The sequence below is a fragment of the Homo sapiens genome, chromosome 19 (genome assembly GCF_000001405.40).
Source record: "Homo sapiens chromosome 19, GRCh38.p14 Primary Assembly".
NCBI classification, from domain to species: domain Eukaryota; kingdom Metazoa; phylum Chordata; class Mammalia; order Primates; family Hominidae; genus Homo; species Homo sapiens.
In genome coordinates this window covers 54,513,534-54,530,413 of record NC_000019.10, presented here as the reverse complement: position 1 = coordinate 54,530,413, position 16,880 = coordinate 54,513,534, and the positions used below count along the sequence as shown (strand labels likewise).

At 45.3% G+C, this 16,880-nt stretch overlaps 1 long non-coding RNA gene across 1 annotated transcript, besides 1 other annotated feature; it reads left to right on the top strand.

Moving 5' to 3' along the window:
* The first annotated feature begins 3,303 nt into the window (after nucleotides 1-3,303).
* Nucleotides 3,304-16,215, top strand: LOC105372460 (uncharacterized). Its single transcript, XR_001754038.3, has 4 exons — nucleotides 3,304-3,500; nucleotides 3,650-3,854; nucleotides 14,106-14,347; nucleotides 15,270-16,215. It is a non-coding gene; the product is annotated as an uncharacterized LOC105372460 (long non-coding RNA).
* Nucleotides 12,802-13,002: a silencer, noted in NCBI's record as "peak3555 fragment used in MPRA reporter construct". NCBI's record gives its function as "represses an SCP1 promoter by STARR-seq MPRAs in K562 erythroleukemia cells {active_cell/tissue: K562}" and the evidence as "EXISTENCE:reporter gene assay evidence [ECO:0000049][PMID:32103011]".
* Nucleotides 16,216-16,880: the final 665 nt, after the last annotated feature.

Below are 16,880 nucleotides of genomic sequence, written 5' to 3'. Positions count from 1 at the left end.
TGAATTAGGTAAAGAAACAAGGCTCTTGCAGGCAAGAGCCAGTGGTGAGTTTCGTGTCCATTCATGATGATTTAAAAGGTTCTATTCACTTGAGGTACATTTAAAGAAATTTCGTAGCCTAATCTCCTAACAGGCTTATGGATTCCTCTGGAAAAACATATAAAAGAGTAAATTCAGAAGGTCAGAAATAAGCCATACCTGAATTTTTCAAATATGGATCCTGGACAAATAAACTAGATCCTATCTATTCCTTGCTTGCGTTCTCTTCTTCAAAAATTCCAATTTTAAAAACATTGGGTGTTCTTGATCTGTCTTCATATGACTGTACCCTGGCTGATTATTTTTTAAATATGTATATGTTTCCATCCCTTTTTATATACTTTCTGCAAGCATGCCTCTCTCTGTTTCCAGCTACAGTTACTTTATCTTTTCTGTATTTTAATATGTTTCACTTATTTAATACATTTCTTATAAATTCACGAATTTCTTTTTATTTTTACCTCACTTTTAGCATCATTAAAATGAGGGAAATAACTCTTCTAACTTATATAACATTTCTATGTTTTGGTGTTTTAATGCATTTTATTTATTTATTTATTCATTTATTTATTTTAAGACGAAGTTTCACTCTTGTCGCCCAGGCTGGGGTGCAGTGGCATGATCTCGGCTCACTGCAACCTCTGCCTCCCAGGTTTAAGAGATTCTCCTGCCTCAGCCTACCGAATAGCTGGGATTACAGACCCCCACCACCACGCCAGCTAATATTTTGTAATTTTAGTACAGACGGGGTTTCGCCATGTTGGGCAGGCTGGTCTCGAACTCCTGACCTCAGGTGATCCGCCTGCCTTGGCTTCCCAATTGCATTTTATTTTTGAAAGAAACTCGAGGTGCCTCAAATTTCTCTGGGGCTATCTCATATTTGTATCACTTTCACTTTCTGAATAGTTTCCCTTCTTATACACAAAAATTTTATTAGGGTATATTTACGCTTTGCTTTTTCTTTACAGCAACCATGACAGTTTAAAATCTGATTACTCTTCATTGTTAAGAGGAATGAGCTCCTTCCTCAATACTAACGTGAAGTAGGCAGCACCTTGAATTCTGGTCATCTCTTATCTTCAATTGGTGGAGGGAAGTCAACACATCCCAATAAACCTCCAGTTTCTTCTGCCCATTGGACAATTTCTTCTGCAGTTTTGCCATCTTGGAGCAAGGCAAAATCTGCACACAAAATAGCCTCTTCCATCGGAAGCTCTGTGAGCTATCGTCACCATGCTTACATTAGATCTCTAGAACATTTTCATCCTGCATAACCAAACTTTGTAGCCTTTGACCAACGTGTCCTCATTTCCCACACTCAAAACCCGCCTGACTATAGTGTAAAAAGACTGTATTACACACCTGAAATTTGCTAACAGGATACGTCTTACATATTCTCACCACATAAAAAAAAATGAAGACAAAAATGATAACCCTGTGAGGGGAGAGACACTTTCTTGTTAGCTCGATTGTGGTAATTATTTCACATACATCAAAACATCATATTCCACCCACCAAATATGTACAATTTGTATATGTCCATAAAGCTTGAAAGTATTTGTTACGATCATTGTCATTCTCTCCTTTTGTTTTAATAATAAAGACATTTAATGTTTCACTTCACAATAAGTTTTGAGGCAGGTAGTGCCAGTGTTGTCCCAGCAACCTAGTGACACTGGGGTTGTGGGTTGTGGGGTTCGGCGGAGGTATTCCTGGGATTCTCTAGGCCTCATATCTTTTTATAATCAATGTTATTTTGTTTATTTTAAGTTCCAGGGTACATGTCCAGGACGTGCAGGTTTGCCACATAAGTAAACTTGTGCCCTGGTGGTTTGCTGCACCTACAAACCCATCACCACACGGCCTGTGGCCCCTTGGCTTTGGATAATTTCTCCCATTTGGAATGGAAACATTCACCCAGTGCCTATATCCCCATTGTATCTTGGAAGTAGCTAACTTGTTTTTAATTTTACAGGCTTATACGGGGAAGAGACTTGCCTTGTCTTAGATGAGACTTTGGACTTGGACTTGTGAATTCATGCTGGAATGAGCTAAGACTTTGGGAACTGTTGGGAAGGCATGATTGGTTTTGAAATGTGAGAAGGTCACGAGATTTGGGAGGGGCCAGGGGCAAAATGATATGATTTGGCTATGTCCCCTCCCAAATCTCATCTAGAATTGCAGTTTCCATGTATTGGAGGGGGGCCCAGTGAGAGATGATTGGATCATGGGGGCAGATTTCTCACTTGCTGTTCTCATGATCATGAGTTCTCACAAGAGCTGGTGGTTTGAAAGTGTGACACGTCTCCCCTGGTTCTCTCTTTATCCTGCAGCCATGAGAAGAAGGTCCCCGCTTCCCCTTCAACATCCGCCATGATTGTAAGTTTCCTGAGGCCTCCCAGTCATGCTTCCTGTTAAGTCTGTGGAACTGTGAGTCAATTAAACCTCTCTTCTTCATAAATTACCCAGTCTCAGGTAGTTCTTTATGGCAGTGTAAAAATTATCTTATACACCAAGTTCTTTTTTTTTTTTGAAAGGTGTCTCGTGGCTGGATCTGGCAGCCTCCCGAGTAGCTGGGATTACAGGTTTGCACCACCATGCCCAGCTAATTTTTTGTATCATTAGTAGACACGGGGTTTCGCCATGTTGTGCAGGCTGGTGTCGAACTCCTGACCTCAGGCAATCCACCTGCCTCGGCCTCCCGAAGTGCTGTGTTTACAGGCCAATGTTCTACTACCTAGATACAAGTACCACAGGTCTTTGTGGTTTTCACTGTTAATCTGTGTCATTAAAAGTGATCACACATATCAGCTCTACTTTCTACTGTTTTGTCCATTTCAATCACTGTCAAAAGGATGGAGTTTAAAGATATATCATTACTCAGCTCTTCGTTTTGGAAGATAAGCAATTACTGCCGTTCACTTAACAATAATATAAACATGCAGAAATATCATAGTATTTTCTTTGGTATGAAGAATAGAGAAGAAATTTGTTTGTGTTCTCTAGGAACAAATTTCTGGGATGATGGCAGTGGAGTCATCAGACACCTGGCTGAGGAGGAGTTTGGATATGAGCAGAGGCAGGAGCCATCGCATGGAAGATCTCGCGAGAGGACGGGTCTTCCGCGTGCCTTGAAGATCTCGGGAGAGGACGGGTCTCTTGAGTTGGGTGAAGATCTCGCGATAGGAGGGAATCTCATGCTAGGGGTGCAGATTTCGCGAGAGGACGGGTCTCCTGCATGGGGTGATGATCTCGCGAGAGGACCTGTCTCCTACGTGGGGTGAAGATCTCGGGAGAGGCCGGATCTCCCGCGCGGGGCGAAGATCTCGGGAGAGGACGGGTCTCCTGCGCAGGGTGAAGATCTCACGAGAGGATGGGTCTCCTGTGTGGGGGGAAGAGCCACACACAGAGAAGCCCAGGACCCTGTGCATAGAGCAACAGCTTTCAGATGATGAGCTTTGGTTAGAATAGTTTCCTAAAATTTGAGTCTATGGGATATTTTGCAAGTTGTGGTTGACATCGATATCATCAGACAAGTGTCCTTCGCTGACAGTACCAAAAGCCCTCTAAGTAATGTGTGAAAAGCAATTTCCTTACTCTTCACTTGCAGATTAACGGAGGCATTCATCAATGCACAGAGGCAAAACCAGTGTCCTCAGAGTATCCAGACCCTGAAAGCTGAAAGAAGGAATGAAAAACCTGCCTCTGGAAGTGGCATTGGCAAGGTATGACCACAAGGAAAGCAGCATGAGATGCTCCTTCCCTGCTTCGACCATGCTGAGACCTGACTCATTGCTGGACTAGAGAAAATCAAGGTGGGTGTTGGAAGATGGGAACACTCTAGCGATTGCGAGTGAGTAGCTGCTTCCTTGGTCCTAGAAAGCTTAGGACTGTTTTTTTGTTTTTGTTTTTGTTTTTTTTTGAGACGGAGTCTCACTCTGTCCCCCAGGCTGGAGTGCAGTGGCGCGATCTCGGCTCACTGCAAGCTCCGCCTCCCGGGTTCACACCATTCTCCTGCCTCAGCCTTCTGAGTAGCTGGGACTACAGGCGCCCACCACCACGCCCGGCAAATTTGTGTGTGTGAGTGTGTGTGTGTGTATTTTTAGTAGAGACGGGGTTTCACAGTGTAGGACTCTTTGACATTCATGTTTCTCAGTGTTTCACCCAAATAACCCACGCTAAGGAGCAAGATCCAATATTCTCCATAGCAGAATAATTATTTTATCATAGGAATATTTACATTTGTTTTATGCCCTTATTTACATTCTCTGGATGAATACGAGAGATGTTAACAAAGAATCACTCCAGATCAAAACATCCATAATTGTATTGACCAGTATTAAACAGTGAAGAGAGAAAACACAATTCCTTGCCAAGATCAATTGATTGAGAGTCTTGTCTTCAGCTTTGGTTTCTCCAAGAATTTTCAGCACCTACCCTCCCAGAGTATCTTGTTTTCTCAACTGGACTGCTCATTTCTATCATTACTTTTGAAACAAGGTCCAAAAGGTGAACAAGATAAGAGCTACTTTCACGTAGGTCAGAGGGGTGAACGGCATCAGAGGCTTCAGAAAATCTGAGGCCGAGGGATGATAAAAGTCCAACTAAATATTTGCAATGACCTAACTAACTTAGTATCTGCCTCATGCACTTCCGTTTCTCGATTAAACCAATTACTTAAACATGAAAAATTAATGCAAAATAATGTCAAGGTTTTATTTGAAATGATTAATTAAAAACACACATCTTTAATGGGAATCTGAATGTTAGCAAGCACGGGTGAAAAGGCCTTTGTGTTGAAGCCAGCGTGGAATTCCTGAGCTGATCCATAGGAGGGCATATGCTCAGGTTACCCATCTGGGTGAATCAAGCTTCCTGTTGCTTTACGTTATTCTAGACACCCCATTCTCCCAATCCTCCAATACTTGTGAGCTCTCCATGCTGAAAACAGTGTGAAGGTCCTATTAGTTTGGACACAGGCTTCACCCTGTGTGTCTAGAATTCTTGATCCACATCCACCCATAGAATAAAGGGACCGTTTATATCTCTGCCATGAATAGATTTCCCTGCCTGCTTCAAACCTGTCGACACAACCCAAGGGCAAGCTTTTCATTTGCAGTGATTCAATTCTCACCTGAGAAGATCTGTGAAATTGAGGCTTTGCCCAGGAGAGGTGGCTGCTTCCAGCCCTGGCCCATTGAACCCAACGCATTATGTTCATCCTTCATTTTTCCTTCTGACTGCCTGGAATAGGGACAATGACAGTGACCATGACAGGGGATGTGGGTGATGACCTCCAAAGTCTATCTCCTATCATCAAAATTCTGGCCTCACTTCTGGAGCCTCTGGAGAGGTTGACAGGCTGGCACTTCCACATGCAAACCTTTCTGTGTGTCTCCTATCTGAGCTGAAGATTCCTCATCTCTGATTCCACCTTTCCTTCACGGCAGGGCTGGAATATGTGGTATTCTCATCTGTACATAAATAGACACAATGGTTTATAACCCTTACTCGAAGCATACGTTCATTCAGATACTTCACTCCAAGTTTTAGATAAATATTATTACTTTATAAATACCCACGTACACTCAGGACAGTATGTTGTCTTATTTACAGCAAAAGAAATGGATCCTTCACATTTCCCTCACCCCAGGACTTTTGCACGTGCTCTTCTCTCTATCTCAACTTCCATCCCTCTCCCCACACCTCATATCACTGTTGAGTGCAAATATCACCAGCTCCAAGATTTCTTTCCTTACCACCGTAGGCAAGTAGGCTTCTGTATTAGTTTTCATGGTTTAGTTTTAACATTTTCTTTCATAAAATTTATCATTGATGTCATTTATTTCTATTTCTCCACTTTTTCATTGTTTCTCCTCCAGTTCCCACCATGAAGACACTCTTTGTGTCTACAATATACCGTAATTGTACGAAGTGAGGAGCCCCGTACTTGGCACACATTTAGTGATTAGTAACTATACGGGGAATTACCGAATGACTCAATGAAGAATGAATAAATGAATGAATGAATGATTTGGGGCCAGGAAGTGTCTCACACCTGTAATGCCAGCACTTTGGGAGGCCAAGGTGGGCAGATCACTTGACATCACGTGTTTGAAACCAGCCTGGCCAAAACCAGCTGGTGAAACCCCATCTCTACTAAAAATACAAAAATTAGCTGGGCATGATGGCGCATGCCTGTAGTCCCAGCTGCTTGGGAGGCTGAGGCAGGAGAATCACTTGAACCCAGGAGGCAGAGGTTGCAGTGAGCCAAGATCTCACCATTGCATTCCAGCCTGGATGCCAAGAGTGAAACTCTCTCTCAAAAAAAAATTAAATTAAAAAAATACAAAAATTAGCCAGGTGTGGTGGTGCACACCTGTAGTCCCAGCTACTCGGGAGGCTGAGGCATGAGAATCACTTGAACCCAGGATGTGCAGGTTGCAGTGAGAGAAGATCGCTCCACAGATCTGGGTGACAGAGCAAGACTCTGTCTCAAAAAAAAAAAAAAGGTGGGGGGGATGTGGAAGGATTCTTTCCTAGAACCTACAGAGTGGGCATGGCCTCCTTGACACCTTACTTGCAAACTTCTACTTCCCAGGATTATAAGTGAATTGATTTTGTGGTGTTAAGCCACGCAGATTGCAGGACTTTGTTAGGACAGCCCCAGGAAGCTAACACAGGTGGCAAAGCATTGTGGTCACAAGACTGGGTTCTGACCTCTGCCAGCCTGGGCTCATTCCAGGATCTGCGGCCTGTTTGCTCCGTGACTCTCAGCCTGCTGCACAAGCTGTGAAGCTCAACCTCCTCATCCTGTAAGCGTGGGTGATATTAGTCACTTCCTAAGGAGGCTTATGTGAAGACGTCACTATTTATTCCATTTAAAACTTCATAAAACTGCATGCCACTTTGTTAAGTAAAGATAATCCAACACAATCAACATGCTATTTTCATTCATACACATTCATACACTCAGTTACCAAGTCTGAGTCCCTGCAGTGCAGTGAACGGACTAGGTATACACAGGGTCTGTGCAGGGACACAGTCCATGTCCAGTATGACGACTGAAGCAGAGAGTGGCGAAGTGGGCTTTGGAGGCCCCCAGATCTGCAACCATCACCTCCAGGGGCACTTTCTGTCTGATGCATCTGGAATACCTGGCGTGTGTTGGGTGCATGCAGCTCTGGGATCTCGAGGTGCCTGGTATATGCTGTGTGCAATCCCCCAATTGCTTATGTCTCTGTGCAGGGCTGGCTTCACTGTCCAGGAGCCGTGCCATCAGAGTTCCAAGCTGAGTTTAATGCCCTCGTGTTGACATCTTGATGTTTGAACATGGGGCCCTCTATTTTCATTTTGCATGGGGTCCAGTGGATTATATAGTCAATGCTGCAGGTATGATTTTGCTTTAGGATTTGTCAGGCTGATCTGAGTTTGTGATCTCTGTGTGCGTCTCACCTGGGCAAAATGGACAAGGAGGAAATCCCTGAGCCAGGAAACTGAGAGCAGAGCTGAATATCCCAGAATTCAAGGGGGAAAGCAGCAGGAGAGGTTGCTGGCTTGATATACGACAGATTTTAAGTGTGCATTTGAATACTGAATACATCATCAACTCTTCCCTCTGTGTCTGTCCATTTATAGTCCATCCATGCTTCCATCCATTCTGCCAGCATATGTCTATAAATGTCAACCTTATTTCATACAATTAACCAAGAATGAAAAATAAAGCATACGCTTCACTGACATGGATCCTGTCCTGTGAGCCCTGCTAGTCTAGGGGATGTGATAGATGTCTAGAAATAACTACAAAACAGGTAACTACGCACTATGACATTCGTATGTGGAATCATTCCTTGGCTGTGGGTGATTAGAAAATAGACTGGCATAGCTCTTCTGTTGCGGAAAGGGAGTCATGAGGAAGTGATGTTTGAGGACACAGGTGAGTGGTCAGGAGGAGGCACTGAGGACACAGGTGAGAGGTCAGGAGGAGGCACTGAAGACACAGGTGAGAGGTCAGGAGGATGCACTGAGGACACAGGTGAGAGGTCAGGAGGAGGCATTGAGGACACAGGTGAGAGGTCAGGAGGAGGCATTGTCTATGTTTGCGAATCTCTCTCAATATCTGTTTCACATTCTCTGTCACTGTCTAACTTGTTTTCTCTTTAACTATCACAAGTTCTCTGTTTCTCCCCCTTTCCTTCATCCCCTCCTCTGGCCCTCTAATAAGTTACTTGGTGTTTCTATGTTCTGGTATTTTTCTTCCTCTACTGGCGGTTTGATCAACAACCACATCACCCTGGGGAGTTTCCTGGGCACCAAAAGACCATGAATGGTCCAGCCACACTCACCTGTGATCACAATGTCCAGGGGGTCACTGGGAGCCGACCACTCATAGCAGGAGTGACTGAAACAGCCACAGCACCTATAGGCTTCTGCACGGGCAGGCGTTATAGGACCCATGGAAAAGACAGCCTTGAAGGAGTGATCCCCAGCCTGGATCATCCTACCATACTGCTGGGAATGTTGTGTGTGCCCCTCTTTGTATAAGATAAATTCATCAAAGGCCAGCTCTGAGTGACAGCGCAGGCTCACGCTGGCTCTTGCGTGCACCAGGGGGCTTGGGTGCGCTGAGATGCAGGGTTTTGTGAACAAGCCTGAGAGCAGAGACAGAGGAGTTCACATGAGTCTCCTTCCTCACCCCTCGCCTGAGACCTCAGGGTGAAGCTGTCCCTCGTCACCCCCAAAGCCCGTCTGCGTCCTTCCTGTTTGTGTGCGTGCATGTTCTCTCTGCGTGGATTCCCATTGTCTGGCTTGAAGCCATATGAAATGTGTGGTTCTCCTGGAAAATGGGAATTAGTCTGTGCTTTGAGAACTTTCAGAAAACACACTGTAGTGAGGAGGTAGAAATGAATCAGAGGTTTTGAAAGAGAAGAATGAAGAGAAGGTGCTGCTAATTATAGAACAAAGGAAGTCAGATGAAGGAAGTGTTTGGGAGGAACAAAACCACACACTCGGGCTTGGAGGGAGGCTCTGCTTTCTCTGAGGCCAGTTATCCATCTTATCAACACCTCCCCTGCCTGCTGCTTCTCCTGGGGTCATCCATCCCGAGACAGCCCCATCGGCTCCTCCAGTGAACCAAGGCAGAGACTGGAGCAACTCTCAGTTCCTCACGCTCTTCTGCTCCCCACACCGTGAACAAATCCAAACAGCTCTTTCCCCGAGTCCCTCCTCACCCACGTCCCCTGACCCATCCCCACAGTCCAAGCTCAGCTGGAGACTGAAGACATCGTGTCTCTGTCACCACATCAGCCTCCTCCCAGCCCCCTACTCCAGACCCTCACTGCTGCTGATGTCTATTAATTCTCATAGCCCCAAACTTTCCTGTTTCTGGCCCTGATCAAAATCCTTCCACAGGTCTGCATCTTCATCCAAATAAGACACAAGCCTTCCTGTTTGACATTCGTATTGCTGATGATCAGGACTGAGCTAAACTCTACAGCCCCAGAAAACACAGCTCTTCCCTACAGAGCAAACTCAGCACAGAAAACCACCTGGCCCTCCCCAGACACACACACACACCCTGAGATATTAACACATTTGTAGGCCAGGCGCAGTGGCTCACGCCTGTAATCCCAGGACTTTGGGAGGCCAAGGTGGGTGGATCACAAGGTCAGGAGTTGGAGACCAGCCTGGCCAATATGGTGAAACCCTGTCTCTACTAAAAAAATAAATAAAGAAATACAAAAATTAGCAGGGTGTGGTGGTGGGTGACTGTAATCCCAGCTACTCGGGAGGCTGAGGCAGGAGAATCACTTGAACCCGGGAGTTGGAGGCTGCAGTGAGCCGAGATTGCGCCATTGCACTCCAACCTGGGCGACAGGGCAAGACTCTGTCTCAAATATATATATAATGACAAAAGTATTGGCAAGGAGTGGCAGGTGTATACCATAGATGTTTGGGTAGGAGAAATCCTGACTTGTTGAGAATCATCCTTTTCTACCCTATCCCCATCCCTTGTACTCTTTTCCTTTTTCTCTTCTCCGTTGATGCTTTTGGTAGTGTTTCCATTTCTGTCCAACAGCTTTGTGACTCTTCCCTTAGGCAAGAACCTATAGAGTTCCCTACAGGACTTTTCTACTCGCCGTGTCCACAATGAAAGTCAATATTGCTGCTACCCTCTCCCCAGGTCTGCAGTGCCTTTTGGGTATCCCATCCTGGAAATCAGTTTACCATTCCCACAGTCATCTTCTTATTTTATTTTATTTTTTTGAGATGGAGTCTCTCTCTATTGCAGGCTGGAGTGCAGTGGTGTGATCTCGGCTCACTGCAACCTCTGCCTCCCGGGTTCAAGCGATTCGTCTGCCTCAACCTCCTGAGTAGCTAGGGTTACAGGCACCTGCCACTATGCTTGGCTAATTTTTGTATTTTTAGTAGAGATGGAGTTTAGCCATGTTGGCCAGGCTGTTCTCGAACTCCTGACCTCAGGTGATCCACCCACCTCAGTCTCTCAAAGTGCTGGGATTACAGACGTGAGCCACTATGCCCAGCCAAATCTCCCTCTCTTTTAAAAATTTATCTGGCCAGGCACCATGGCTCACACCTGTAACCCCAGCACTTTGGGAGGCCAAGGCAGGCAGATCACGAGGTCAGGAGATCGAGACCATCCTGGCCAACATGGTGAAACCCCATCTCTACTAAAAATACAAAAATTAGCTGGGCCTTGTGGTGCATGACTGTAATCCCAGCTACTCCAGAAGCTGAGGCAGGAGAATCACTTGAACCCGGGAGGTGGAGGTTGCAGTGAGCCAAGATCACACCATGGCACTCCAGCCTGGGCGACAAAGCGAGACTTCATCTCAGAAAAAAAAACAAAAAACAAAAACAACAACAAAAAACATGATCCACGTTTAATTGCTTTCTTTCCCTGAACACTCCTGGAGGTTTCTCCTATTGCCCCAGTGCGCAGCCCTTCCATGGTCAACAATGAAAATTTTAATTTAACCTATTTGGCTCAACCCCTCACTCCAGCAATTGAGAATAATTCTCCTCCTAAATCTTTCCCCTTGTTTGAGCCTGTAGCTTCTCATAGCTACTGATGCTTCCGAATACACTGCTCTCTCATTTGAGGATGCTCTCTACTCTTTCCTTCCCCTCTTTTCCTCTCTGGATCAATTGTCTATATTTTTGGTACCATCTGAGGGGTTTTCATGGCCAAGGGGCTTTCCTTCACTCCTTAGGAAAAGATAAATTGGTATCTCTTTTGCGTTTCAGCAGCGCCTAAGCTTCTGGTAGCAGAGTCTTATCAGTGCATTGCAGATTTCTCTGTCAGAGTCTGTCAGGGGCAGGAGCTGAGTCTGACTCATTTCCACATCACCTGTTTCCTATACAGGATGTGGCACATCAGAGTCCCGAGTCCCAGGAGATGTTGCTGAGTAAATATTTGAAAAAAACAAATGCCGGCATCCGTCCAGGCTAAGTCTGTAAGCTTGAGATGGGGAGCCCAGAACTTTGGAAAGTAAATCAGGGAATATGTCAGATGTCCAAGGACCTTCAAGAAAATGTTAACAATGATTCATAAAAACAGGTATTATTACTGAGCAAAGTTTATCAGGCTCTGTGTAGCCACAAAACTATGATAATATTATCATCGTTTTTAGAGTAACATTATAGTAGTGATCACAATAGCCCACATTATTGAGTGAGTCTAACAACATGTTCAGAGTTTACTTTGCACGTCACATGCAGTAACTATGTGTTCTCCACCAAAACTCTATATAAGGTAGGTACTGGCATTGCCCTCATTTTATAAATGACAAAATTGAGTCAAGTGGGTAATTTTCCTAAATCTCATAGTTTTCAGAGACAAAGCAATGATCATATCCCAGCCTTCCTGGCTCCGGAGCCTTCCCTCCTAGCTAAACAGAGAGGCAGAATATAATAATCCCCGATCATCCGTCTTCCAAACATGCTTACAAAGCAGACAGCATTATTAGTGCCATTTTATGGAAAAGCAAAGTGAGTCTTAGACAGGTAATGTGACTCTCCCAAGCACATAAAGATAGCAAGGTCAGATTCAGGTTTTGAAAGCAGTTTGGTGTGATTTAAAGCCTGTTGTCGTTTGGCCATTACCCAATAGCTGGTATCTTGAAAGTCCGGGAAGAGATATTCTCAGCTAGATTGGAGAGAACCAACTCTTTCTGACACCCTGGATTATTCTAGTTGTCCTGATGAGTGTGGGAGCCCACATTCTGAGCTTTTTTTTAATGTATATACTTTAAGGTCTAGTGTACATGTGCACAATGTGCAGGTTTGTTACATATGTATACATGTGCCATGTTGGTGTGCTGCACCCATTAACTCGTCATTTACACTAGGTATATCTCCTAATGCTGTCCCTCCCCCTCCCCCACCCCCGACCCCACAACAGGCCATTCTACTTGCTTGCAGAATCCATGGAATGTAAGGGTTATTTTTTTTCCAAAAACATCGCCTTAACAACTGGCATCCTCTTTTTCCAATTTACCCTAATGCCTGAATATTGCCCTGAAAAAAAAGTTACTGATTAGATTTTTCCAGGAAGACTCTATTTCAGAGTCCCAAGATAGGGACTCAGCATATGCAAATGATCAACTAAGAGACGACAATGGAGAAAGCTGTGTGGCTTCCTGGACGCTGGCCATGGTGCTGAAACTACAGACAGGCGCCAGCATCCCAGTCAGTACTGTAAACAGTAACCGCAAGAACCACTCTCCTTGGACTGCATCCAGACAGGGGAAATAGGAATGGTGTCTAGATATAGGGCCAGATATATTGGGAACATTTGGAATAGGAGTCAGAATTTAGCAAGAGGTGGAGAAGCTCAAGGTGTAGATGATGTTCATATGAACTATGGAATCTTGACATCTGGATAAGGCCATTTTTTTTTCTACTGTACACCATCGTGGGCAGAGAGGAAGCAAAAAGGGAATCACTCTGGCCTTGCCTTGGTAATAGAAAATAGTGTTTTGTTTTGTTTTTTTTTTTTGAGATGGAGTCTCACTCTGTCACGCAGGCTGGAGTGCAATGGCATGATCTCGGCTCACTGCAACCTCCGCCTCCCTGGTTCAAGTGATTTTCCTGCCTCAGCCTCCTGAGTAGATGGGATTACAGGCTCACGCCACCATGCCCGGCTAATTTTTGTATTTTTAGTGAAGACAGAGTTTCACCATGTTAGTCAGGCTTGTCTCAAACTCCTAACCTTGTGATCCTCCCGCTTCAGCCTCCCAAAGTGCTGGGATTACAGGCATGAGCCACCGCGCCTGTCCGAAAATAGTGTCTTATTTCAATGCACTGTGTGTATAAATTATGAGCATGATAAGATTCTACTCATATTGGGACTTTGCTACTTGCTCTACAAATACTATATCATTACTTTTTATTGTAATAAAGTACGCAAACATAAAACTAACCATTAACTATGTAAAAGTGTACAAATCAGTGGAATTTGGTGCATTCATAATCTTCTTCAACCATCACCTCTATTTAGTTCCAAGTAATCTACAACACCTTAAAAAAAAAAAGGCCACACACTTCAGAGAAAACAGAGCCAATACTGTGTGTGTATGTGTGTGTGTGTGTGTGTGTGTGTGTCCCTCTCTCACTGGGAGAAGATATTCTCCGCTAGATTGGAAAAGACCAACTCTTTCTGAAACCCTGGATTACTCTAGTGGTTGTTTTGCTGAGAGTGGTTTGTGCAGACGTCGGTCGGCAGAACTTCTTGGACTTCAGAGTCTACACACACCCATTTAGGTCTTGGATGGTGGTGAATTCTCACCTAGGACCCTGATTCATCTCTCTTGTCAAGACACAGCACAAAACACGTAACTAAGGAAGGGTGGTCTCCTAGCCCCCATCCGTAATGAGTCTTCCCATCATCTCCTGTATAGTCAGGAAGTCTGCACCTCCCTCCCAAGCCACTGAGGAACTGGGGGCTTTCTGCATTTCCTTGTCTTTTTAGAGCTTCTCTTGTAGCTCTAAAGCCCTTTACATTTCAGTGGATTCTCATGCTTCTCATATCTTCTGTCTCTTAGGGCACAGTCCTTCCAGGTAGTTAAAAGCATCTGTCAGATTCCGAAATCTCCAGTCACTGCCAGCCTCATCTGAAATCCCAAGTCACCTGCTCACAGGATGGAGGAAGCGGAGGACTCTGCTCTGTCCTGGGGTTCCTGAGGCCTGCAGTGATGTTCCATGCAAAGGGCCATCCCCAAGAGGATAGGATGGACCAAGAATTAGGAACATGCAGAGAAGGGCTTGAGACTTTTTAGGGTCACAGGTGAGAGTGACTGGCAGAGGCCATGGGTACGAGAGGTCTCCCAGCAGAGCTGGGGTCCTAGGGGAAGACACTCCCTTCTGGTTCTTGGGGTCAGCAAGGTGTAGTCTGATAGAGATGGAGGACAGGTTCTCACTGTTGGCTGTGGTGTCCTCCTGGGAACAGGTGGGCTAAGCCTCTCCAAGGGCACAGACCTGTGGGTTTCCCCAGACCTCACTCTCAAGCCCAGGAGAGACCCAGCCCCAGTGGTCACATTTCTTCAAGAAGAAGAGAATGAAGCTCTTGGGTCTGTGATCCCTCCATGAAGCAAGGCCCATGAGCTTTGTGATTCTTGGTCTAAACCCTCCTCCCCAACACCTGCCCAGGCTCTACGTTCTCCCTTCAGATAGACGATCTCCTTGACCATGCTCGACTCAGGCTCCTCTGAGCTCTTTTCCAACGAGCCCTGACCTCTGGGCTTCCATGTTTATCTCTGCTTTGCCCAATTTTAGTAAGAATTGCAACTCTTTTCCAATTCTTACTTAAGAAAGAATCCTGCAGAGTCAGTTTAACTCTAGATATCTGATCACCCTTAATCAGATGGTTCACAGGTAAGAACCTTCATTCTCCATCAGCCTCAGGTGATGTCTGGCCGCCTTGGCCTGCCTTCAGCAAGAATCCTGCTGGGTCGGTTTAGCCAGGGTCTTCTTAACCCCTGAGGACTTCTCTTAGCAATTTTCCACTGACTGACCCCGCTCACCCTGCTCCAAGGCTACAAATTCCCACTTTTCCTGTTCTACTCAGAGTTGAGCCCAGTCTCTTTCCCACACTGTGCAATTCCATCACCATGGTCCCTGTACCTACAGCAATAGTCCTGAATAATGTCCTCCTTATTGTGCCTCAACAAGTGACACTGGATTTTTTTTTTCTTCAACACCCTGCCCAGCTGGTCCAACGGTCTGAGAAAGGGAAGTCCAGACACCTGGCCTCTGCTCTGGACAGAAGCCGAGAAGTGGTCTGCAGATCAGGATGCCATGACTGCCACTCTGGGCATCTCTCACACGCTCAGCGTGTCTCAGTTCCATGGTGGGAACCACTGTCCTCAGGAAAAGCTGTTTTCTTTCTGTGTGAAAGTAACCACCCGAATCCCCAAGGAAACAGGAAGAAAAGGTCGGCAACAAAATACCTATTAAAATTCTCCACATTTTGGCCAGGCACAGTGACTCTCGCCTGTAATCCTAGCACTTTGGGAGGCCAAGGTGGGGCAGATCACTTGAGGTCAGGAGTTCGAGACCAGCCTGGTCAACAGGATGAAACCCCATCTCTACTAAAAATACAAAAATTAGCCAGGTGTGGTGACACATGCCTGTAATCCCAGCTACTCTACTCAGGAGGCTGAGGCAGGAGAATCGCTTGAACCTGGGAGGTGGAGGTTGCAATGAGCCAAGATCATGTCACTGCACTCCAGCCTGGGTGACAGAGCAAGACTCCGTCTCAAAAAAAAAAAAAAAAAAAAAAAAAAAAAAAAAAAAAAACCACATGCAAAGAAACTGAAGCACAGTCCATACATAGCGCCACTGACTCCCTATCAAATGTGAAACATTTTAAGTGACGTTTCTCCACATGGAAAAGCCTGGTGGAGAGAGAAAGGGACAGGGCATGTTATCACACAAACCAAGCATTTTTCAGGAGGGTGTGCAGTGTGGGATGTGCTACAAACTGAGGGCTCATTGCGGACGTGCAACAGAAGGAGGGATGCTTCTGGTGAATTTTTAACAGAACAAGCAGTTTATAAAAGGGCCCGTAAAATATTGACCCTGTTGGGGGGGGAAGCCTGTTATATATGCATGATAAAACAGAGAAAAATAAAAATAGTCAACGTTTACCTGGCATTTTCGATGGAACAGACTCTGGTTTATTTCACTGAAGCATCATCAAAAATCCAATGAATTACATTTCTTTCCTTAGGTAGTTAATACCTGAGGAGTTAAATAGCATTGCACGCCAGTGAGGATTCCATCCGTGTATGTGTTGGTGTGGCTTCGCGTGTGTGTGTGCAACAGATCAGCGTGCACTCAGTTCAACAGAAGAAATACGTCTTCTATGGAGCTGGATGCAGTGGCTCACGCCTGTAATCCCAGCACTTTGGGAGGGGAGGATCACGAGGTCAGGAGATCGAGACCATCCTGGCTAACACAGTGAAACCCTGTCTCTACTAAAGATACAAAAAAATTAGCTGGGCGTGGTGGTGGGTGCCTGTAGTCCCAGCTACTCGGGAGGCTGAGGCAGGAGAATGGTGGGAACCTGGGAGCGGAGCTTGCAGTGAGCCGAGATTGTGCCACTGCACTCCAGCCTGGGCGACAGAGCAAGACTCCGTCTCAAAAAAAAAAAAAAAGAAAAGAAAGAAAAGAAAAAAAGAAATACGTCTTCTATCATTGATGTCACTCTTCCTCATAAGCTGCCCCTGGTGAACACGCACACACTCCCTGGAGTTTAAACTCAGCCCTTCACAATCATTTTTCACTTTCTTTAGTATGATTTCCCCTTCCCACTTTCC